Source organism: Homo sapiens, chromosome 1 (assembly GCF_000001405.40).
Source record: "Homo sapiens chromosome 1, GRCh38.p14 Primary Assembly".
Taxonomy (NCBI): Eukaryota; Metazoa; Chordata; class Mammalia; order Primates; family Hominidae; genus Homo; species Homo sapiens.
The window spans coordinates 10,580,229-10,604,287 of NC_000001.11; the positions used below are offsets into that span (position 1 = coordinate 10,580,229).

General features: G+C 42.7%; 1 protein-coding gene across 10 annotated transcripts in view, besides 7 other annotated features; it reads left to right on the top strand.

Annotated features, from left to right (window-relative positions):
- The window catches only part of PEX14 (peroxisomal biogenesis factor 14), a 155,809-nt gene that overhangs the window by 105,279 nt on the left and 26,471 nt on the right, over positions 1 to 24,059 (top strand). For 7 of the 10 annotated variants that reach the window (XM_047422544.1, XM_047422545.1, XM_047422543.1 and 4 more), the window contains one exon: positions 19,010 to 19,138. The exons of the other annotated variants lie outside the window; for them this stretch is intronic. In XM_047422544.1, the coding sequence (XP_047278500.1) occupies positions 19,010 to 19,138 (129 nt within the window). The remainder of the gene's footprint in view (positions 1 to 19,009; positions 19,139 to 24,059) is intronic. 10 annotated transcript variants of the gene reach the window in all.
- Positions 6,043 to 6,112: a silencer, noted in NCBI's record as "silent region_248". NCBI's record gives its function as "represses an Ori minimal core promoter by ATAC-STARR-seq in GM12878 lymphoblastoid cells {active_cell/tissue: GM12878}" and the evidence as "EXISTENCE:reporter gene assay evidence [ECO:0000049][PMID:35858748]".
- Positions 10,784 to 11,078: a silencer, noted in NCBI's record as "tiled region #3136; HepG2 Repressive DNase matched - State 8:EnhW, and K562 Repressive non-DNase unmatched - State 23:Low". NCBI's record gives its function as "represses a minimal TATA promoter and a strong SV40 promoter by Sharpr-MPRA in HepG2 and K562 cells {active_cell/tissue: HepG2 | K562}" and the evidence as "EXISTENCE:reporter gene assay evidence [ECO:0000049][PMID:27701403]".
- Positions 13,856 to 14,373: an enhancer, noted in NCBI's record as "H3K27ac-H3K4me1 hESC enhancer chr1:10654141-10654658 (GRCh37/hg19 assembly coordinates)". NCBI's record gives its function as "activates a minimal SCP1, AML or CMV promoter by ChIP-STARR-seq in primed H9 embryonic stem cells {active_cell/tissue: H9 hESC(primed)}" and the evidence as "EXISTENCE:reporter gene assay evidence [ECO:0000049][PMID:30033119]".
- Positions 14,374 to 14,891: an enhancer, noted in NCBI's record as "H3K27ac-H3K4me1 hESC enhancer chr1:10654659-10655176 (GRCh37/hg19 assembly coordinates)". NCBI's record gives its function as "activates a minimal SCP1, AML or CMV promoter by ChIP-STARR-seq in primed H9 embryonic stem cells {active_cell/tissue: H9 hESC(primed)}" and the evidence as "EXISTENCE:reporter gene assay evidence [ECO:0000049][PMID:30033119]".
- Positions 14,376 to 14,425: an enhancer, noted in NCBI's record as "active region_154". NCBI's record gives its function as "activates an Ori minimal core promoter by ATAC-STARR-seq in GM12878 lymphoblastoid cells {active_cell/tissue: GM12878}" and the evidence as "EXISTENCE:reporter gene assay evidence [ECO:0000049][PMID:35858748]".
- Positions 22,286 to 22,787: an enhancer, noted in NCBI's record as "H3K4me1 hESC enhancer chr1:10662571-10663072 (GRCh37/hg19 assembly coordinates)". NCBI's record gives its function as "activates a minimal SCP1, AML or CMV promoter by ChIP-STARR-seq in primed H9 embryonic stem cells {active_cell/tissue: H9 hESC(primed)}" and the evidence as "EXISTENCE:reporter gene assay evidence [ECO:0000049][PMID:30033119]".
- Positions 22,788 to 23,287: an enhancer, noted in NCBI's record as "H3K4me1 hESC enhancer chr1:10663073-10663572 (GRCh37/hg19 assembly coordinates)". NCBI's record gives its function as "activates a minimal SCP1, AML or CMV promoter by ChIP-STARR-seq in primed H9 embryonic stem cells {active_cell/tissue: H9 hESC(primed)}" and the evidence as "EXISTENCE:reporter gene assay evidence [ECO:0000049][PMID:30033119]".

Here is a 24,059-nt window from a genome sequence, read left to right on the forward strand (position 1 = left end):
TTTTTCTTTTTTTTGAGATAGGATCTCACTCTGTCACCCAGGCTGGCATGCAGTGGCACCATCTCAACTCACTGCAACTTCTGCCTCCCAGGTTCAAGCGATTCTCCTGCCTTGGCCTCCCGGGTAGCTGGGATTACAGGTGCATGCTACCTCGCCTGGTTAATTTTTGTATTTTTAGTAGAGACAGAGTTTCACCATGTTGCCCAGGCTGGTCTCGAACTCCTGAGCTCAGGTGATCCACCTGCCTTGACCTTTCAAAGTGTTGGGGTTACAGGCGTGAGCCACTGCACCCAAACAGGCGTGAGCCACTGCACCCGGCCAAGATTCTTAATAAAATGTATTATCAATATAAACAATAATACAGTATAGTACATACAATTATATGTATCATATTAAAGTTCTTAATATGTAACATGGTGTAATATTAATTCAGAGTAGACTGATAAGAATGTATATTGTAATCCCTAGAGGGACCACTTAAAAAAAAATACTAAGAAATATTTAAATATCCAGAAGAGGATACTGAATGGACTACCGAACATTCCTAGCTGTTCTTTTTTTTTTCAGTGCATTATTTTTATTATATTTTTATTCATCAAGTTCATATGCTGCTTATATATGCCAGGCATTGATCTATAAAAGTAGTACCTTATTTAATCTTTATAACAACTTTATTCCCATTTTACAGATGAAGGACCTGACTCATAGCTATTAAGTGTCAGAGCCAGGATTAAAACATAAGCCACCTTTTTTTCTAATTTTTGCTTTTAACCACTATGTTATGCTTCTAGTGGAGGAAGCAGCTGACACATAAATTAACAAATAAGTGTCCTATTGATATGAGCGACAAAGGAAAAGAACAGTCTTCTCTGTCTCAGGAAGGGTTCAACCAGAGAAGCAGAACCAATGGGAAATAGTATGCTGTTGCCACGTCTGAGGCTGGAGCTTGAAGTCTACATGGCAGGTAGTCAGAAAAGGAAAATTAAGAGCAGTCTGGAATCCCATGAGGGCAGAATGAAACCTGTTTCCATTCTTGTTGCCTCTGACCTTGGTGTTAAACGAGGATCTTTGTTATCCTTTTTTTTTTTTTTTTTTTGAGACAGAGTCTGGCTCTGTCGCCCAGGCTGGAGTGCAGTGGTGCAATCTCGGCTCACTGCAACCTGTGTCTCCTGGTTTCAAGCAATTCTCTGTCTCAGCCTCCCGAGTAGTTGGGATTACAGGCGCCCGCCACCATACCCTGCTCATTTTTGTATTTTTAGTAGAGACAGGATTTCACCATCTTGGCCAGGCTGATCTTGAACTCCTGACCTTATGATCCACCCACCTTGGCCTCCCAAAGTGCTGGGATTACAGGCGTGAGCCACCGTGCCTGGCTAATCCTTGTTATTCTTATTTGTGCATTCTCCCAGATAAGCTTGAGGAACATCTGAGATAATTTAAAATAATTGGGATTTTTTAATTGAAATTGTGTTAAACTTATAAAATAATTTATAAGTTTATAATAATTTATATTTTATTTAATTTATAATTTATAAATTTATAATAATTTATAAAATAAAAATAAAATAATTTGAAAGGCTTTTTCGTTTGTCTCCCTTTATTTCTCTTTGCAACATTTCTTTATACTGATCTAACATTTTGTAAGACTATAGTAATTTTATATTTCTCATGGCTATTATGAAAGGAATTTCTCTTCATTTTATTTTTTAATTATTGCTGGTACATAGGAGTGCTACTGATTTTTAATTTTATGTACTATATCTTGCCATCCCACTTTCTCATGATTAAATTAAATTTTATAGGTATATGGTCAATTGATTATTTTGTAAACTTGTCTCTAGTTCATAGACATTTTAATTTTATTTCCTGCTTTATTACATAGGATGAAACTCCAAGAATAATGTTAAATGTTAATGATGACAGTGATAATGAGTTTTATGATAAACAGCTTTTTTTTTTTAAGAGGGGAAAAAAGGGATTATCATGAAGTACTACAAATATATCTTACAGCTATTGAAAATCTGCAATTCATGAAGCACCAGTGTGCTTTATTCACATTTATTCACACATTGAACAATTATTTGGTGAATGACCACTATGGGTTGATCAGTATTTTAGGTTTTGGGGATACAGTAATGAATAAGGCAGAGAATAAAAGTTCAACACCATTAAAATCCTCAGAAAACCATATAAGATAAAAGAAAGGTTACAAAGCCATCTATGTTTGACAACCAGAGGAGTATTGTCTAGATAGTAATTGCTGTAGAAAAGTACTTCTACCTAGGGTGATCACAGAGGAGCTTTGGTGATGGAAGAGATAACCCGGAACAACTGACAAGCTCAGAGTAGGGTTGGGAAGAAGCTACTCTGATGGCTGGAACATCAGGGGTGGAAGACTGATGCCTGACTCTCTCCAGAGTATAAGGCATATCAGGGGCTGATGAATAAACTAGTTTGCTTTATTTAGTACAGGGTGAATATATGGTAACAGGCATTTTGTTTTGTTTGGTTTGGTTTGGTTTTGAGATGGAGTCTCACTCTGTAGCCCAGGCTGGAGTGCAATGGCACGATCTCAGCTCACTGTGACCTCCGCCTCCCGGATTCAATCAATTCTGCCACCCCAGCCTCCTGAGTAGCTGGGATTACAGGCGCCTGCCACCACACCTGGCTAATTTCTATATTTTTATTAGGGACGGGGGTTTCACCATGTTGGCCAGGCTGGTCTTGAACTCCTTGACCTCAAGTGATCTGTCCCTCCTCGGCCTCCCAAAGTGCTGGGATTACAGCCATGAGCCACCATACCTGGCCTGGTAACGGTTTTTATACTTACCTCTGGGGATTCTTGGAGATTCTGAGGAGATATTTCAGGGGCAAAGAGGGAATCAAGAAGGTGGGACTCTGATTTTTCTCCGTACCCCTCCGGACCTCTCAAAACCTGAACATTACTTTTGTCTGTTTTACATATTGGGGTTTCCGTTTATTTATTCTTTCTACACTTTTTTTTTTTTTGAGATAGAGTCTTGTTTTGTCACCCAGGCTGGAGTGCAGTGGTGCAGTCATGGCTCACTGCAGCCTTGACCTCCTGGGCTCAAGCAGTCCTCCTGCTTCAGCCTCCCTAGTAGCTGAGACTACAAATATACACCATTGCACCCAGCTTTTTTTTTTTTTTTTTTTAAAAAGGTGAGGTTGCACTATGTTGTCCAGGCTGGTCTTGAACTCCTGTACTCAAGTGATCCTCCTGCCTCAGCCTCCCAAAGTGCTGAGATTACAGGTATTAGCTACCACGCCTGGCTTTTTACACATTTTTATTGAATACCTACTAGGTGCCAGTAGAACCTAGGTGTTTTAGGTACTAGGAACATAGCAGTGAATAAAATAACCCCAAATGCAATGGTAGAGTGGGAGGGAGAAGACAGTAAATAGAATAAAATATAAACATGAGTAAGAGCAATAGAGGATTCTTCTTAGGAATTTGCTATTTTAAATGGGATGGTTTGGAAAGGCCCCTCTAAGATAACATTTTGAGCAAAAACTTGAAGAAAACGAGGAAGCAAACCATGCAGATTTCTGGGTAGAAAGAGTTTCAGGAAAAGGGAATGACCGATGCAGAAGCTTGAAGAGGAAGTTGTGTCTGGCAAATTCCAGGAACAAGAATGGTAGGCCAGGTGGATAGCAGTGAGACACGAGGTCACAGCATTCACAGGGAGTAAGGTTGTGTAGGGCAACAGTATCTTGGTAAGGACTTTGGTTTTATTTTGAGTAAAATGGAAAATCATCAGAGTGTTTTAAGCAAGGAGTTATACCATCTGATGTAAGGTTTAATAGGATCACCAGGGTGGAAGCTGGGAGACTAGTCTAGTGTTGAGATGTGATCAGATTCCCTGGATATTTTTTTGGAAGTAAATCCAATAGAATAGCCTGATTTGTGGGATCTGGATATGAAAGAGAAGTAGAAATTAAGGATGACTCCAAGGTTTTTGGCCTTGTGTGACTACAAGTTTGGAGTTGTCATTAACTAGGAATGGAGCAGTTTGGTGGGGCAAGATTAGGAGTTCAGTGTTAGACGTATTAAGTTTGAGATATCAGACATCCAAGTGGAGGTATCAGGTGGGCAGAGGGATATTATGAATCAAGTTCAGAGGAAAGATCTGAGCTACAGATATAAATGTAACATTGTTAACTTCTTGATTTTGATAATTATTCTGTGGTTATATACAAGCATGAGCTTCCCCGACTCCCACCCCAAATTAAGACATGCTTACTGAAATATTTAAGGGGTAGGGTGTGATGTCTGTAACTTAGTCTCAAACAGTTCAGGGAAAGTAATCATATAGACAGATCAATAGAGAATAATAAAGCGAGTGTGATGAATTTAACATTTAAAGAACCTGGGTGAAAGATATATGAGAATTCTTTGTACTATGCTTTCAGCAGCTTTTCTGTAAATCAGAAATTATTTCATAACAGAATGTCTTTTAAAAGTGAAGGAAAATACAGACATTTCCAGGCAAACAAAAAGAGAAAATTCATCACCAGCACACTGTACTGAAAGAAACACTAAAGGAGTTTTCAGGCAGAGAGAAAATGATCTTACATGGAAACATAGAAATGGCAGGAAAGAATGAAGGACAAACAAAAGGACACATATCAACGAATATTGACTGTGTAAAATAAGAATGTCTTTCTTGTGGATTTTAACATACATTATAATTGAAATGCATGCCAGTACACAAAAGGAGGGGTGGAGGGAAAGTTATATGTGCGAGGATCTTTGGGGGAACAGTAAAATTTCTCATTTATATCACACTATAGTAAGTAAAGGATATATTGTGATGTCTAGGGCGTTGGTTCGCAAGTGTTTTAGTCTCAGGACCCCTTTCACCCTTAATTGAGGATCTCCCATTAGGCAAACATCCAGTAATTACTGTTGCAGACAAATTCCATTGACGGGTGCTAAAATGAGATGAAGGTTTCAAGAGAAAGAGCAAAGTGTCTTTTCCGAGCTATTTATTAACTCTGAAAGAAAAGATAGTAACTTTGCAGTAGAGAAATCCATCAGAAACCACCTTGACTACAAGGTAATAGAGAGAAAAACTGAATTAAAAAGAAGACAGGAGAGAAAAGAGAGCACTAAACAGGTCAAAAGGAAAACAAATTGTAATATGAAAGATATAAACCCCCAAAGTTCAGCATTTACATTAAATATAAATGGAGTAAATACTCCATTAAAAGCAGTTGGTCAAGATTAGATTTAAAAGACTCAATGCTGCTTGCATCAGACACACCTTTAGTATAAAGATATTTAAGGATTAAATGTCAAGTGATGGAAAAAGATACACCATGCAAACACTAACCACAAGAAACTCGGTAGTAATACCAGACAAGGTGGTCTTAAAAGTAGAATCAGAAGGCCAGGCGTGGTGGCTCACACCTATAATCCCAGCACTTCGGGAGGCCGAGGTGAGCAGATCACCTGAGGTCAGGAGTTCAAGACCAGCCTGGCCAACATGGCGAAACCCTGTCTCTATGCAGTGGTGCATGCCTGTAATCCCAGCTACTCCGGAGTCTGAGGCAGGAGAATTGCTTGAATCTGGGAGACAAAGATTGCGGTGAGTGGAGATCACGCCACTGCACTCTAGCCTGGGCGACAGAGCGAGACTCCGTCTCAAAACAAATAAAAAAAAGTGAGTCAGAGATAGAAAAATTTCAGAATAATAAAATGGTCAATCACCAACAAGATGAACATTTCAAAATAGTTACACACCTAACAAACATAGCTTCAATATACGTAAAGCAAAACTGGACAGACCTGAAAGGAGGACTAGACAAATCTATCATAATGGGACGTTTCAAAACTTCTTTCAAAACTTCTTTCTCCATGTTTGGTAGTACAAACAGACAAAGCAATCCAGATTCTAACAACACAATGAACAAACTTGCCTTATTACGTAGAACGCTGTACTCAATGAAGATGATAAACAAACAAAAAGTATTCAGTCTCGGTCGTTGTCAGAGAAATGCAAATTGCAATCAGAATGTGCTATCCTTCACACCCACCAGAATGACTAAAATGGAAAAGACTGAGAACTTTGCTGCTGGGTGTGGGACAGCTAGAGCTCTTCTACTCTGCTGGTGGGAGTGTGAATTGCTGTGACCATTTTGGACATTGTTGGCAGTATCTGTTAAAGCTGAGAAGATGTGCACTCTATAATCGAGCATTTCCCCTAAAAAAATACATATTAAGAATGTTGATAGCAGCATTATTCATAGATGGTCCAAAACTAGAAATACATTCTTTTACTGTATAAGACTACAATACAACAATTTGAATGAACTGTGGCTATGTGTAACAACAAGGATGACTCGCAAGCATAATGTTGAACAAAAGGAGCCGTTTACCTTTTTTTTTTTTTTTTTTTTTTTTTTTTTGAGACGGAGTCTCGCTCTGTTGCCCAGGCTGGAGTGCAGTGGCGTGATCTCTGCTCACTGCAAGCTCCACCTCCTGGGTTCACGCCATTCTCCTGCCTCAGCCTCCCGAGTAGCTGGGACTACAGGTGCCCACCACCATGCCCAGCTAATTTTTTTTGTATTTTTAGTAGAGACGGGGTTTCACCATGTTAGCCAGGATGGTCTCAATCTTCTGACCTCATGATCCACCGCCTCGGCCTCCCAAAGTGCTGGGATTACAGGTGTGAATGCTTTCCGTATTATCCCACATATATAAAATTCAAAAGCAAGCAAACTGAATCTGTGGTATTAGAAGTTAGGTGGTGACTGGGAGGAGACAAGGGATGTTGCTAGAGGCTGTTACTCTATTTTTTGATCTGGATGGTAGTTACATAAGTGTGTTCACCGTGGGAAAATTCATTAAGCTGTACACTTAAAAATGTGCATGCTTTTCTGTATATATTCAATGCCAACAAAAGTTTCCTTAAAATTATAATGAGGCTGTGTGTGGTGGCTCACGCCTGTAATCCCAGCACTTTGGGAGGCCGAGGCAGATGGATCACGTGAAGCCAGGAGTTTGAGACCAGCCTGGCCAACATAGTGAAACCCTGTATCTACAAAAATACAAAAATTAGCAGGGCTGGTGGCACACTCCTGTAATCCCAGCTTCTCGGTAGGCTGAGGCACGAGAATTGCTTGAACCTGGGAGGCGGAGGTTACAGTGAGCCGAGATGGCACCAGCCTGAGTGACAGAGTGAGATTCTGTCTCAAATAAATAAATAAATAAAATAACGAGACAATTTTTTAACCTTTCAGAATGGCAAAGATAAAAAGCTTAATAGCATCATGTAGGCAAGGTTGAGGGAATGTGAGTGGAAACAACCTGGAAGAAGGTTTGACAGGTCTTATTAAAATTAAAACTGCACACATCTGAGTCTATTCCTAGGGATATAGTTTACACATGTACAAGTGGTATATTCAAGGTCCTTTATTATGGCTTTGTTTGTAGCAGTAAAGGTTCAGTAGGGGATGTTAAATAAATTATAGTACATCCATACCAACCATATAGCCATTAAATAGAATGAGAGAGCTCTGTAGATACTAATATGGAGTATCCTCCAAGATAACCTAATTAAAAATAGCAAGGTATAGAACAGCATGTATAGCGTGCTATCATTGTATAAAAATATACGGACACACATATGTATACACACATGTGCTTTTTTTTTTTTTTTTTTTTTTTTTAAAAAAAAAAGAGATGGAGTCTTGGCCAGGCACAGTGGCTCATGCCTGCAATCCTAGCACTTTGGGAGGCCGAGCGAGTAGATCACGAGGTCAGGAGTTCAAGACCAGCCTGGCCAAGATAGTGAAACCCCATCTCTACTAAAAATACGAAAAAATTAGCTGGGCGTGGTGGTGCCTGTAATCCCAGCTACTCGGGAGGCTGAGGTAGAGAATTGCTTGAACCCAGGAGGCTAAGGTTGCAGTGAGCCGAGATTGCACCACAGCGCTCCAGCCTGGGTGACAGAGCGAGACTCCGTCTCAAAAAAAAAAAGACATGGAGTCTCACTATGTTGCCTAGATTTGAAATCCTGGACTCAAGCAATCCTCTTGCCTCATCCTCCCAAGCAGCTGGGATTATAGGTGTCCACCACTGTGCCCAGCTACATGTATGCTTTTTATATAAGAAGCTTTAGCAATAGTTGCCCCTGGAGGATGTAACAGGGTGGCAGGAGTGGGAAGGAGACTGATTTTTCACGATAAAGTGGACCCCCTTTATCCATAGTTCTGCCTCTTATGCTTTCAGGTACCCGAGGCCAACCAAAGTCCAAAAATGTTTAAATGGAAAATTCCAGAAATAAATGATTCATAAGTTTTAAATTGTGTGCCATTCTGAGTAGCTTGATGAAACCTCCTGCTGTCCTACCTGAGATGTGGATCATCCCTTTGTCCAGCTTATCCATGCTGTGGACGCCTCCACCTGGCAGTCACTTAGTAGCCCTCATGGTGATCAGATCGATGGTCATGGTATCCAAGTGCTTGTGTTCAAGTAAGCTCTATGTTACTTAATAGTGACCCCACGTGCAAGAGTAGTGATGCTGGCAATTCAGATATGTCAAAGAGAAGCCGTAAAGTGCTTCCTTTAAGTGAAACAGAGAATGCTCTTGACTTAATAAGGAAAGAAAAAAAATCATATGCTGAGGTTGCTAAAATCTATTGTAAGAACAAATCTATCCATGAAATTGTGAAAGAGGAAAAAAAATTTGTGCATAGAATGTACAGAATTTTGTATTATCTGTGGTTTCAGGCATTCGCTGAGTGTCTTGGAATGAATCCCCCCACAGATAAGGGTGGGCTACTGTATACCCTTTTATATCTTTAGAATTTTATACAGTGCAAATATTTTTTAAACATTAATTTTAAAAATAATTGTTAAAAGTCCCTTAGAAAGATGTTCTCTCAGTAAGTTCAGTAGAGCCCACATTTTCCGTCACACTGAAACAGATCTTTGGTTTAATACCAGACGACATAGTCTGCATTGCATGTGAGTGCCAAGCTGTGTGGGGGAAAATAGCCTGTGACATGGTGCTCAGATTGCAAGGGTATATGGGAATGAGGTGATGAGGGCACAGCGGGTTCAAACATCCGGTCTTGTGCTCACTGGAAGATGCAACACTTGTGGAGTGAAATGGTGAGCCCATCCCCACCCCAACCGGGTGTAGTGTAATTTCCCTCTCTCTCCCCTTCTGAGCAAGTGTAAGTTGAATTCAGAGTGTAAGTTGAATTCAAGTCTCAAACCTCCTGGGCTCAAGCAATCCCCACCTCAGCCTCCCAAGTAGCTGGCACTACAGGTGTGCACCACCATGCCCAGCTAATTTTTGTAGTTTTGTTTGTTTGTTTGTTTGTTTGTTTGTTTGTAGAGATGGGGGTCTCACTATGTTGCCCAGGCTGGTCTCAAACTCCTGGGCTCAAGCAGTCTGCCCGCCTTGGCCTCCCAAAGTGTTGGAATTACAGGCATGAGCCACTGAGCCTGGCTTTCTACATAAGTCTTTTACTACATTATTTTATTATTTCTTAGAAGCAAAATGATTGAGTCAAAGGTATGAACATTTTTAAAACTCTTGCGATAGAGTGCTGAAGTGACTTCCAAAGTTTCTCAGTTTGCTCTTCCACAGCACCCTCACTGGCATTGGGCATCCTCTTGTTTAAAAGCAGTTTTTAATTTGAAAAACTCCAGTCTTAATAACTTTGCCAATACATCTGAATGATAGGCTGGAAGTCAGAGATGTCAGTGTTACCTTTCAGCTTGAATGGGATTTGGAATATTCCACCCCCGCCCCATGCTGTATAGAGAGTAGTGCTGAGGAGCCTGGGCCTGGGGTCCGAGCCTGGCCCTCCACCCTGCAGCAGTGAGATCTCAGATAGGCCGGTTCATGTCTGTGAGCCTCAGGCTCTTCCCCTGTAAATGGGGAGAATCAAGTGTCTACTTCTGGCACTGCTCGGAGGTGCCACAAAACCGTGAGCCTGCAAACAGAACCGTGAGCCTGCAAACAAAACCGTGAGCCTGCAAACCGTGAGTCGTGCCCCTCGGCAGGCCTGCACAGGGTTAGCGTGGAGCTCAAAGAGTTAAAGATGTAAAGAACTAAAATGCTCTGCTACACGTGGGTTTAATACACTTGGCTGTTATTTTGAGTGAGGGGTGGAAATATGAATGATTTCTTTTTTGTTTTTTGTGTGCTTTTCTTTATTTTCCATGTTTTCTGCAGTTGACATTTTGTTATCAATATATAATCTATATTATTCTATATACTATACCTATTATACATTACAGATAGAGAAACAGACAAAACTCATTCAACGTAAGAAACTGGGGGGTAGGGGTCCTAGGGAGGCTCCCATTTAACAGGTAGGGAAAATGAGATCTTGCACTCTCACATTGCCTAGCAGTAAATAAGCACTCAAATATTTATGGATTTGGTTGAGTGCTACATATTTATCTCAATACTAATAATGTTGACAGTAGCAACCAATACCAGATTCATTTGAGCTACACAGCTAGGTGGTGACAAAGTAATTTATGTATTGACCTATTAGGACATAGCATGTTTTCATGTGTTAATATCAGATTAATGTGAGGACTTGCAAGAACATCTGATGCCTGCATGGCAGCTTAAATCTTTAGGAAGTAAGCTGAATGCCAAATAATAGACCTTCTGATCACATATTTAAGATTCAAGATGCAGAAGAAAACCCCAAAGGAACATTTATAGCATTCAGCTGGGTGACTAAAGAGTGTGCCCTAGTGCACCAAACTCTTGTGACAAGATTTTCTTAAAGGAACAAAAAATCTCCACCTTGATTTGTGTCTTATAGTGGAGTTGTTTCCCAAATCAGGCTGTTTCAAAGAACATATGAGACGGCGTATGGCTAGCCCTCCCATCCCAAAGCAAATGTTTGTTTTGTTGCAATGATGGAAACATTTCCATTGGTGAAGCAAATATTTAGAGCTGAAAGAAACATTTGGGCAGCCAGGATGTGTCAAAACAGAACAGATGTCTGCCTTTTAAAAACACATTAAAAAAAAGCCACCTTGTACTTGGCTGCTGTGGTCGCAGCCACAGTGGGTTAAGCAAGAAGTTAGAAATTGTGGGTGTCTTTCTGTTATAATCCTAGCTCCTAGACTTGGCTTGTATCTTCTTCTGTCTTGGTTTTTCTCTTCCAGAAAACGGGGTGAACCATTGTGATCTTGTTAAGGATCAAGTCTGGTTGGTTTGTTTTCCCCAAATATTTTCTTTGTTCTTAAATTTATTTATTTGAATCAGAAATCTATTCACAGGGAACAAAATTCATAAGGCTAGGCAGTGAAAAGTGTTCCTCAATCTCTGTTCCCCAGCAACTAGTCCTCTCTATAACCAGTGTTACCAGTTTCCTGTCCTCCTTTTCTTTCAGGTATACACACTGTGTGTGTGTGTGTGTGTGTGTGTGTGTGTGTGTGTGTGTGGACTTCTCTGTACCCTTCACCTAGTTTTCCCCCATGCTCCTGATGTTCTCTTTGGCTTTCTTCTTTCGGGGGTGTTAATTCTGAGAGTTTGCTTATTTAAAATATGCAGACTCTGTCAAGTGGCAGAGGGCAGTAGGTATGTCAGGCTGCCCATGCTCCCCGCCCCCTGCCCCTGCCCAGCACAGAGAGCCCCGTGTGGGAATCCAATTCTGGGGCTCACATGGGCTGTGGGCAAGTCCATGCCCCTCTCTCTGTCCCTTTTTCTTGATCTATAAAACAGAAGGAAAAAAGAAAAAGAACAGGAGAGAGGTCAGATAAACTCCAATTTTTCTTGCAGTTCTGAATTTCTTTGTTTGGTTGTCAAAGGCAAGTTGATTCCTTTTTTTAAACCACCCTTCATGACCTCTTCTGAAAACAGGAGCAAGATTTAAGTATCACTAAAAGTGTTTATCAATTTGACTTTTCCATGCATGCACAAACACACGTTTGGCTTACTTGGCATTTAAGTAGCAGAGATTCCTGATTACCCTTCCCTTGGTCTTTAGGGACACAGTTTCTTCCCTAGGACTTACTCAGTATACTGTGGGAAGGGCTGACTTTTCTACCTGTTGCCAAAGACCTGCTGTCTGTGGCAGCCGCAACGATATTTGTCCTGCTATTAATCCTCTGGAATCGATCAAATATCAAAAATAACTTCTCTTTGTTTTTGTTTCTAATTTAGCAGAGAGGGATTAAAAGAAAAAAAAAACCTTTAGATTATATAGATCTAAAAATAGACATCATGGATGCTGATTGGAAACCCTCCCAGTCGTTCATATGAGAGATCTCAATTTGTGTTACATAGAGGGGCAGCTCACTTCTGTCTTGTTCGCCAGTTATACTACTCCCCAGAGAAGCTCAATAAATTTTATAGGAAAGTTTCCTCCTTATGTGGAAGGAGCTAAGCTCAATGACTGGTGTGTCTGATATAATTTAGGGCTCCAAGGGAGTACGTCTGCCTTGTGGAATAACCTATCAAAAGTAAATGTACAGAAACTTTCGATCTTGGTTGATTTGGCTATGTCATTGAAACTGCTCAGCACTGGACCCCGTGAACCCAGCCTGTCTGCTTTGGAATTAAACTGCTCCCCCAAACTCACATTCGATTCACTGTTAAAGCGGCCTTTTGTGTGTCTCACTGGTAGTGGCTTCTGGGCTCGCCTGCTGTTGTTCCACGGTTTCCACCGCTGGCCCTTTGAAACCTCCAAACTTGGACGTGGTTGAGTTTTTACATCCCTCTTTGCCTCTTCTGTTGACATTAGGAAAGCAGACCTGCCTTCTCTTTAGGCTTCGAGTGGAACAAGCCTGCCAGTTTCCTCAGTCTTTCAGCTAGCAGTGAAATACATTTTGCACTGGCTTTTTTACTCAGTGATTTACACTGGGAGACGTGGCTGGGTGATGTCCAGTGTCCTTTTGTCTTTGTGTTTATTTTTCTTCCACATTTAATGTATTTAAAGGATATATTGTCTTTATGGTTCACTGGGATAAGGAGGGATTGGTGCAAGTTTTAATGAGAGGTGCCCCAGCTCTCTGTGTTGAGCTGAGAATTATCTTCTTGGTTAGATATCTTTCTTTCTTTCCTTAGGTGGCAGGAGGCAGTGTTTTGCTGCTTTTTGAAATAATGTTTCTGCCTAACGATTTCTAGAAGGATACCGAGAGGACATTCAGCTTCAGGGCATCATCAGCAACTTTTTCTCCTGTTGTTTGAACTTCCCTCATTTAAGGAGAGGGGAAAGTCTCAGGTCTTGTTCTTGAATTTACATATCAATATTAAGATGATGGGAAACAGCCCCCTGCCACTCCCCATCATCTGATCAATTCTTATAAAAACTCTTGCATTCAGGGTAGTGACATGTGGAACTAGTTTTCTCAGAAACTGTTTTCACTGCTTGGGAATAGTTAATCAGTGGAGGAAAAAGTGTTTGACTTATCTGCTTAATATTTTAACCAAGTGAATTAGACAGGTTGGGGGGCTGGGGGAGGGGATAAGAAAGTGGGTGGGGGAGGCCCCATAAACAAGGTGATATATAATATTTTTTTTGTTCTCCTTTTAAATAAATACCGATCAGCTTTATGTTCAGAGACAATAGAAGCCGTTGGCTTAAATTTGCAGTTTACTGTATTTATGGCTGTAATATCAAGGTGCTGCCGTCGTAATTTCATGCCCCAATGAGAAGAGCAAGGTCGAAGCAAATGCTTCCATCGGCATCTGCTAACACACTAACTCATAAACAAGGCCCGGCTGGATCAGGTGGCACGGAATAATACAGGCTAATGAAATACAGCACAGCTTTCCATTACTGTTAGTTTTTACAGTGTCGTCATTACGTGTAATTTATGTTTAAAAAATTCAATTTTATACAAGGCACTGGGAAATAGGGGTCTCCAGGTCATCCTACGACTTTTAGAGGCTCTGAGAGTCCTTATTGTACTCTACTGTTCCAACAAAATGTTCATAAAATAAAATAAAAATACTTTTCCCCTTCCCCTCCCTGAACCTTTTCTGAGAGAGTTGATTTTTTTCTTTTAATTTGGGAAGTATTTTTAGCCAGCTGTCTTCTCTGCCTCATCTCCTCCCAGAGTGTGCCGGGGCAGATAACTTAGTTGTTCTGAGAGAGGTGACCCCCTCTCAGTGTCCATGAGTCCCAGATGAATTGGCCAAGTCCTAGAAATAGAGGGGCTGCAGAGCGGGGAGGAAGAGGTCCCAATGACCAGCCCTTGACTGCCACCGTTTGTCACTGGCCCCCTGGCCCTGTTCCCGTGATCCCAGTCAGATGCCACATTTTTATAATAAAACTAGGGCTGAGCAGGAAGGCGCTGGCAGGAGTTCATTACCTTGCTTATTTTCAAACTCTTCCTAACCCTTCTGTCCTGGTTGTTGTTTGACCTGAAAGATGAAGAGAACACTGCTGTCTTCTGTCATCTGTCTTTCTGCTTCACCTGCACAGGGCCAAGCCCCGTGGCAGTGCCCAGCGGTCACTGGGGACAGTGCTGAGGTTACTTATCCTGAGAAACCCTTGCACGGCCTGTCCCGCAGAGAAAAGACAGCCCTTCCGGGTCCCTGGTTTGGTCTGAGTCGTGGGAAAGGACCCTAGGGCATCACAATCGCAGCCTGTACCCTGCAGCTCACAGAGTCAATCAGTTTGGTTTTATTTGCATTTGAACAGAAACCTTGAGAAAAAGAAAGCCAATTTGTTTATCTTCTAGGGGATAAAAATAGGCAAGTGTGGCAGCCCTGTGGCCACGCAGGTCAGACACTGCAGCAGTGACACTGGGGTTTTATTAATCAATAGGATGTAGCTCACTTGTTCTGTCCTTTTAAAAAAAAAAGCCCACCCTGGAGAAGAGATGCTTGGCCCAGCTCCTACACAAGGGCAGCAGTCATCTCCGGTCCAGGGAGCTCTTCTGGAGGTTTTTGCAAGTAGATTCTAGAGAACTGAGAGAACAAGAAGTCTTCCCCACTCTGGGCACATGGAATCTTCATTCAAAGAGTTTGGTTTGAATTGAGAGCTCTCAGTTTTGCATATCAGGTAACTATGATGTGAAAAGATGAAGCGGCCTCTTTACCTCTCAGAGTCAGCCCAGACCCTCTTCGCCTCCCCTCCTCTCAGAGAAGCTCCCTCGTCCCTTTCTCCTCCTTTTGACTAGAGCTAGTGGGTGGAGAGAGTAACTGAACGGGAATTTCTTAGTGTTATTCTCTATCAATAATATATTTTAATTGTCAGTGCTATAGACTGGGTGGCTGGGGGTTGGGAGCTGGTGGCTCTTGAAAATCACCAAGTGGCAGAAAGGAAGTTATAGGAAGAACATAAAGGCTTAGTGCCAGTGGTGTCAGGTAATGCATATTGATACCTCAACTAAAAGAACATTTGGGGCTTTATTAAAATTGACTAATTCTTCCAAAGATAGCAGCTAAAGGAGGACTTAGATGAATAGAGGAGGGAGGAGGCTTGCAGGACGGTGAAGCCCTTTGCTTCCAGCTCTCTGCCTGCTCAGCCATTGCTCCGTCCCTCTGCAGTTAGATTATTCCTTGCAGATAGCAATCAACTGGAAGGAAGTGTCTGTGTCTAATTTGCATGAGATTATTTAAAACAACAACAAAAAAAAGGTCTGCATTAGTCAGGGTGATGGTAAACAACGCAAAGAAGATGCCTTTTATAATCTAGCCTGTGCCTCAGCTTTCAGAGCCAAATATAATTCACTTACAATTGGCAGTTTCCTTTATTATTCCTTTTAACCTTTTGGATTCTGCAAGGTCTCAATCTAAGATCAGCAGTTTGTCTTGGCAGTAGTGGGAAAGATGGGGCTAGGGCACCGGGATGTCCTATGTTGGCTCCATGGCAGCACTTTGACCCTGAAGGCAGGGTCATCACAGCACCAAGAGCCAATGACTGGGCAGATAACTAGTTGTGATCTGGAGACAGGTGGGTGTTCCCACTCAGTCTCCCTAAGTTCCAAATGAATCACCTGAGTCCTGTAAATGCAGTCTTAAAGCTGGCCAGTTCTGCCTAAGGTGGGGACATTCCAGAGGAAGATGACACTCAAGGAAGCCTATGACAGGCATTTGGACTTGATTTCGGGTTAGAATATTAGAACGAGAACAAGATGAGGACATTCTACCTTTTTCTCTCTAGTATTGTTCAAAAAGTTGTCCAGGCGTCATTTACAGATAGGAGCCAGGGGTTAAGTTCCTGTATTGTTTCAATGTAGCCCCAAAACAATATTCACTGGCTCCTTCCTGTAGATGAGAGTGGCGGGGTAGGGAGAAGAAAATGTAGTCCTTCTCCCAAGCTCTTTAACAAGTCTGAAGACCTAGGACATAGTTTGAGTCTGCCATTTGATGTTTTGTAACTCTGGTGTAGTGGAGAGTCACTGGGCTGAAGAGGGAGAGCCTTGAGTGCCCATCACATCACCACTCTCTACAAGTAGGATGTGGGGCATCGTTTCTACCCTCCTTGGGCCTCAGGTTTCTTATCTGTTAAATGAGGGCAGTGACTGGGATAATGGCCCGGCTCTGAATGTGATTCAGTGAGATTGTTAAAACGCTTACTTTTAAAAAGAAGAGAAAGGATTCATTTACTGTAACTAAATCAAAATCCTGCCTCTCCCAGAGAACCAGGGATATCAGAATTTCAGCCAATATAAATTTTGAGCCTCAAATGATAACGTCTGTGAAAAACAAGAGCTTGGAAGGAAGTACTGATGCCCTTTCAACTGTGGCCTCACTAGTGGGCTCGGCTGCGATAATGCAAGGAACATGTTTTATTAGGAAAATAGGCTTCATAAAAGCTCAGGGCCAGAGGGCAGAACTGCGGGCAGGGCGTCCTGTCCCTTTAACCAGCTCCGGCCCTCAGGGCCACAGCACAGTCTGTAACTTACTGTATATTTCCCCAGTGTTAAACATTATTGTACTTGTTTATATTTGAAAGAGCCAAAAGGGAAAATGAGAATGCAACTGAATGCTCCTTTTGGGAAAATTATCTTCATTTGCAGCCAGCGGCTGACAAGGCACACGAACCACCAGGTTTATAAAATTCCGTAGTGTACCAGTGACCATCAGCCTGTGCTGACATCGCAGATGCTGCTTTCTTCTCTAATGGCTGATTATGAACTGGTTAAAACAATGTCTTTCCCACCAGGGCTCCGAAAGGGGTTCCCCTTCCTGTTTAGTCGGAGCGATCGGCAGTCACTACACAGGCTGGAACCTGAGAGGCACAAACTCAGGGCGGGGGTATTCTCTGTTGTTGCCTGGCTTGCCTGTTGGTCCTGTCCCTGTTCTTCTTGGAAGGTGAAATTATGGGTAAAGCAGTCCCTTTGCAGCAAGCACCCCCTCTCTAGCTCCACTCTACTGACCTTCAGCTTTTGTCTTTGGAAGGTGGTACGTGATGCGCTGTGAACCCTGGAAGCATTTTCATCCAGCCCACCAATCTGTTGAGAGCATGGTGCTATCAGGGCAACCCGGTGGCTCTTCAGACTTCCCAGTGGTGAGGCTGTGCCTGCCCTTGGCCAGCTCCACTGTGTGAAGAGGGTAAAGAGGGGAACAGCTGCAGTTTTAAATGGGGATAGTCCTCAACTCCTCAGCACAGAGAAGGGAAAAAAGAGTCCAGGGCTGTTTAGAAAAGTTCGGGCATTTTCCTTTGACTAGCTGTGGTAGGGCATGAAAAGTTTGAGGGGTGGCTGCAGTCAACTCATATGCCAGTATGGTGCAGGGCGGAGCTGTGCTTTAAAGCATTAATGTGCACCATCTATTAGCCCCTAGGCATGGAGTATGAGGCACCATCCTTTTGAAGATGCTGATCCTCAGAACCTCCTTGTACTTCATCTACCCCCAGGGGCAAATATACCATGCTGTGGGCCTCTAATGGAGAGCTGCCGACCAGATGTGGAAAAGCTCTCGGCTGTAGTTTAAAAGCTCTGTGTTGCGGCTCGCTTGGATGTTGGGATTCCTGGAACAGCAAGGGCTGGCCGAGTGGTCTTTTGCAGACTAACAGTGACCTCCCACCTGCTTTTCCCACTCTCAGCAGCTGGAGTGCCTTTGTACACACAGCTACTTCCTGAGCTGGCCCCGTGTGACCGCTCCTTTCATACTTGAGCGCCACATTTCATTCTGTTCTTTGGGTTGGATGGGGCTCTCTTCCTCCTCCCAAGAGTCAGTGTCCCAAATTGGCTCAGACCCGGTGGAAATATCCCAGCTGTGTCCCCACTGGAAATGCGGCCTTCATGGGTTTTCATTTGCCTTTTATTCTTCTGTGGGCAAATCCTCTCCACATGGCATAGCCACTGCAGATGGCGCCCTGCCACTTCCTGATGTCCCATGTATGGTGTGGTTTAGAGTGTCGGGAGGATTTCAAGAAGGGAAAAGAAAAACTAGCCAAAGGCGATACAGGCAGCGTGTGATAGGCTAGAATAATAATCATCTGAAAGTTTGGGCCTGGCCTTGTTTTGATCTGTTTTCTTGTTTTATTTTCTTCTTTACATTCTATATCCCATTCATACTAATCACAGTCAGTCCTGATTTTTCTTTTTATTTCTGCATTTGTCATAAAATAAAGCAAATTATTCCCGTCTTCAGAAACGATCTAGACTAATTAGTCGTCTCACCCAATAATTAGTTTTTTGTTTCCCTGTCTGTTTTCGTGCATTATTGTTAGTTTTTTCCCCTCTTTTTTTTTTAACACCATTACAGATTAAAATGAGCCACATTTGCAGTTGATGGTATCTGTTTTCGGGGGAAGAATGGAGAATTGCAGTACCGAGCGACTTCAAAAGCAGCAATAAACTCAAGGATAAATTAAGGAAATTGAATGAGCCACATTTGGAAGCAGTGTTGAGGCTAATATTCTGTCGCTTAAGGTTAAATTGCAACTGAGAGAGGTTCCGGAGAATCTGAAATCGGGGAGGCAACTTACTAGGATGCGAGGCATTCTGTGGCTGTAAAGGTCTTTGCTCAGTGAAGATTCTGTTGCAGCTATGGACACTGACAAAAGGTACTCACCTGCAATGATGTCCTCTTCTCCCCAGGGCTGACAGATGAAGAGATTGATATGGCCTTCCAGCAGTCGGGCACTGCTGCCGATGAGCCTTCGTCCTTGGGCCCAGCCACACAGGTGGTTCCTGTCCAGCCCCCTCACCTCATATCTCAGCCATACAGTAAGTCACCCGCTCAAACTCCTGCTTAACCTTGATTGGGATTCAGGACTCTGGCCAAAGGGCAGTGTTCTGTATCTCCCAGACTTAGCAAACCAGGAGAAACTGGGAGCAGCAGAAAGCTCTTGGGTTTTTCCCAAGGAATGTGACACACCCCAGTCTTCTAGACAAACTTTTTAAAGTATGTGACAAAGGTTTAAGAAGAGACAAGGGATCAGAATAAATGATTTTATTGTTGTTTCAGGTATTTTGGTTACATGCAGAAAACCTGTACAACTATTTATTGATTCTGTTCCCATCTCCTCATACCAGTGCTTTTGAATGTTACTGTTTCACTAAAAACAGCGTGACCATCTGACTCATGGGTGCATTCTTGTTTGCTCACTGCAATAACCTGTCTCCCACTTCTATTTTTTTAAGTTAATATTTGTAAGTTTAGGTCAGCCTCCATTTCCCTCCCTCCCTTGTCCTGGCTATACTTTGTACGTTTATGTAGTAGCGGTCTGTTAGGGAATTTCAGGTTAAAACATGAAGTTCCTTTTTGAATGTTTCTTTTAATTATACGAGATCATGACCCATGAGGGGTCTTTCGTTGTCTTAAATGAAAGCTACTATAGGAATAAAGTTTCTTCAAACAAGTTATAAATGCATACCTCCAAAATGCAGCCAGAAGCCCTCCTTGAAATCACTTATAAAAAGTTTAAAAAGGCTAAAATTGACTACAAAGTTATGGAAAATAGCTCCATTTTGTTTCTTTAATGAAACTCAGCATTGGGCCGGGCACGTTGGCTCACGCCTCTAATCCCTGCACTTTGGGAGGCTGAGGCGGGTGGATCACCTGAGGTCAGGAGTTCGAGACCAGCCCGGCCAACATGATGAAACCCTGTCTCTACTAAAAATACAAAAAATTAGCCAGATGTGGTGGCAGGCGCCTGTAATCCCTGCTACTCAGGAGGCTGAGGAAGGAGAATTGCTTGAACCCGGGAGGTGGAGGTTGCAGTGAGCCGAGATCGTGCCACTGCACTCCAGACTGGGCAACAAGAGCGAAACTCTGCCTCAAAAAAACAAACAGGCAGGGTGCAGTGGCTCACATCTGTAATCCCAACACTTTGAGAGGCCAAGGCAGGCGGATCACTTGAGGTCAGGAGTTCGAGACCAGCCTGGCCAACGTGGTGAAACCGTGTCTCTACTAAAAATACAAAAAATTAGCCGGGCGTGGTGGCACACGCCTGTAATCCCAGCTCCTTAGGGGGCTGAGGCAGGAGAATCACTTAAACCCAGGAGGTGGAAGTTGCAGTGAGCCGAGATCACGCCGCTGCACTCCAGCCTAGGTGACAGAGTGAGACTCTGTCTCAAAAAAAATAAAATAAAATAAAGAAACTCAATACTGGATCTGTGATCTCTCAAAATGCCTTTTCTATAATTGTTATTCTCAGAAGTTTTATTTTTGCAAAAAATGATTTAAAACTGTTAGATATCAGATTTTAAGGCCGGGCGCAGTGGCTCCCGCCTGTAATCCCAGCACTTTGGGAGGCCGAGGCGGGTGGATCATGAGGTCAGGAGTTCGAGACCACCCTGGGCAACAAGAGCAAAACTCCATCTCAAAAAAACAGACAGGCCGGGCGCGGTGGCTCACGCCTGTAATCCCAGCACTTTGGGAGGCCAAGGCGGGCGGATCACTTGAGGTCAGGAGTTGGAGACCAGCCTGGCCAATGTGGCAAAACCCTGTCTCTAATAAAAATACAAAAATTAGCTGGGCATGGTGGCGGGTGCTTGTAATCCCAGCTACTCAGGAGGCTGAGGCAGGAGAATCGCTTGAACCGAGGAGGTGGAGGTTGCAATGAGCTGAGATCATGCCATTGCACTCCAGCTTGGGTGACAAGAGCAAGACTCTGTCTCAAAAAAAAAAAAAAAAAAAAAAGTGTTAGATATCAGATTTTAAAAGGCATATTTTAAAATGACAGATTCGTTTTGATCCCCCAGCACCTGGTCTGAAGCTGCCTTCTTTCCCTCACCTCAGCACTGTTTTCATCCAGCTCAGCTGCAGCTAGGCAGGTGTGATCTTGGCAGTAGAGCCAAAAAGGCCTTCTCTTCTCCGGACTTGCTGAAGGGCCAGCCAGTGGGTTGGAATCTGCTGTCTGTGTTACGGATCTTATTTAGAGATCTCCTCCTTTGGCTGTCCACAGAAGGCTGAATGGGGGAGGCCAGGGAGTGTGTGCTCAAGTGTGTCAATCTGTCAGTGCCTTGCATGGGTGACCCACTGCAGGTTGCAGAGCTTCAGTGGTGAGCCTTGTCCTGTATTTGGGCTACTGGGTTAGCACCTGTGACTTGTCAGCTTGGGGCTCCTTTCTCCTTCCTGGCCAGCATTTTTTCCAATCCATTGTAGTTGCTTTGGGTCCTAAGCTGACTTTATGTGCTTCTTTTTAACCAAAGGCTGAGTCTCCACACTTTTTCTTTAGTTGTGTCCCTGGGCCCAGCCGTGTAATGGGATTTGTTGAGGATAGGCAGCGGCAGCTGGGGTGCAGAATTTTCTAAGATGCACATCTGTTCTGTTCCAGCTGTTTCCTCCAGTGGCTTAATACCGAACAGGTCTCTCGGCTACTTGGAAACTTCTTACTCAGAACAAATTGTTCTGGTTGATCACAGAGTTGGCCTAAAACATCATATGTTCACCTACTTTCCATAGACACAAAGGGTTAAACTGTTAGTCTTTCTGAAAGAGGCAAAAGAATGGGGTGGGGAGGGGCAATTCAGTTATTTAAATCATACTCATGTCCAGATCGCTCTGAGAAAAAGCAATACACGTTGAGGTATTTAGGTAGGAATATTTTTAAGAGCCTTCCAGCCCCTAAAAATAAAATACACATTCTTAGACACAGACTTCTTCCTGCTTTGACACTAGTGTAAAAACAATGGTAATGATAATTTTAAATACCTGAAGTTTTTAGTTGTCATCATTGAGCTTCATTCTTCTCATACCGTTACATTGCTCCTCTCACTCCGGGGGTGACTCTACCTCTTCACTTCTGTACTTTTGCCAAGAGGTGTCAAAACTGCTTAAAAAAAAAAAAAGCTTGATTTTGATTAATATAGAGAAACAAGACTTTGCCTGACTGATAATAAAACTGATAAATGACATTTGAATTACTTGTAGCGGTAATTTATTACATAAAATATCTTTTATTTGACATGCGATTAGTTGCTGGAAGCATCACTCAATCTGACTAGTTTAAACATGCTCCAAAATGAACCCCAGTAAAAACCAGGGCTGTCTGCTGCTGGCATTATGAAATATACTAATCCTGGAGTGAGGGAAAAATCTGACTTTAAATATTTAAATGATTAATTGGGTTTATATATTTTTTTACTTTTCTAACCCCCTTAATTACAAGCAAACTCAGGGGAGTTTCTGAACTAGGTGCACAATCTGCATGCTTATCACTGAGGCATTGTCTGCGTCGGGAGGGATTTATGGCCTCTATTCATGTGTGTTCCTGCCGATTTTACATCTAGATCCCCGGCAGCCTTTTCCTTCCCATTTCTTGGCTTTTTACGGACATTCCATCTCTGAGCCCAAGGCTAGAAAATGGGATCCCCTGGGCCTAGCCCCAAACACTCAGGTCTCAGGGTAGGGTAGCTTTTCCAAGACCACCCCAGGGAGCCCAGTGCTCTTCACCTTTGAACCTGCTGGCCCACCTGCTCAGTGGCAGGTGTGCCACTGAGTGCCTCTTTTGGCATCTCTGTTCTTTGGTGAATGTGGTTGACCTTGAGATGTTAGCAAATGCCAGTGTTGGCAGAGAGAACGTAGAGACCTGCCCAAATAGTAACAGTTCAATTTCTCAGTATTTTTATTAACCATCTACTATACGGTCAGTACTATATCATGCGAGAGATCCAAAACCTGATCTTTAAGCATCTTGCTAAGCTCTTTGGGAAAGATAAGATAAACTCTTAAGAAAAGGATAATAATATAAGATGTTGTGATTTAATGCCAAAATTAATTATACAGACAAGAAATTCTGAAATTCTGAAATATAGAAAAGAGAAGAATTAATGTGGGCTAGAGTCAGGGAAGGCTTTTGTGAAAGTGATAGGAGGTTGGCACCAAGGGGAAGCTTGGTGTCACCTGGTGTGAGCATAAACCAGTGCTCTCGGGGGCTAGAAGAAAGTTGGTACAGTTCAGGAGAAGTCAGGCTGTGATTCGAGAGAAGATTTGAAATTCTCCATTTCTCATTTTGGTTTCTTGTCTGGCTTTACATCGGGAGTCAGTGCATGTGTATAGGTGCAGGCCTAGCCCAGTCCTGAGCAGAGGTCTGATAAATGCTGGTTGATTGATTCACGCCAAGCTGATTTGTCTTCGTCCTCCCAGAGAGACCAAGAAGCTTTGAGATATAAGCAGGACCAGTGTAAATTTTGTAGGATAATAATTTCTTCTTAGATTTGAACATTTTCCCTCCACTGTCTTTGATAAACAATTTAAACCCCTTCAAAGACTGACCTAGAGCTTCAGTTGCTTCTTCTCAAAATAGGATGTCAGCATCTGAGGCCGGTGAAAGGTTTTGAACCATTTGATTAGAAATCCTGAGAGAGAGTGAGTTATTCCTCTGTTTATTTCTTTTGTAGCCCTGTGTAGTAACACAAACTTATCTGTGGTTATCTTAATTCACTGAGCAAGCATTGTTATTGAATGCCTACTGTGTGCCAGACCCCTGGGCTAAAGAGACTAACAAGACCTGGTCGCTCTCTCTGGTTGCTCCCGTCTGGTAGGAAAGACGGTTAGGCCAACATAGCAGTGCCTGTCAGGTGGTCCCGGTGAGGACGGTGGCACAGAAGAGGCGACGGGAAGCTTCAGAGAGCAGATGTCTAACTGGATGTGGCGGGCTGCTTGGTTCAGTGATCAGACAGGATAGACAAGAGCATTCCA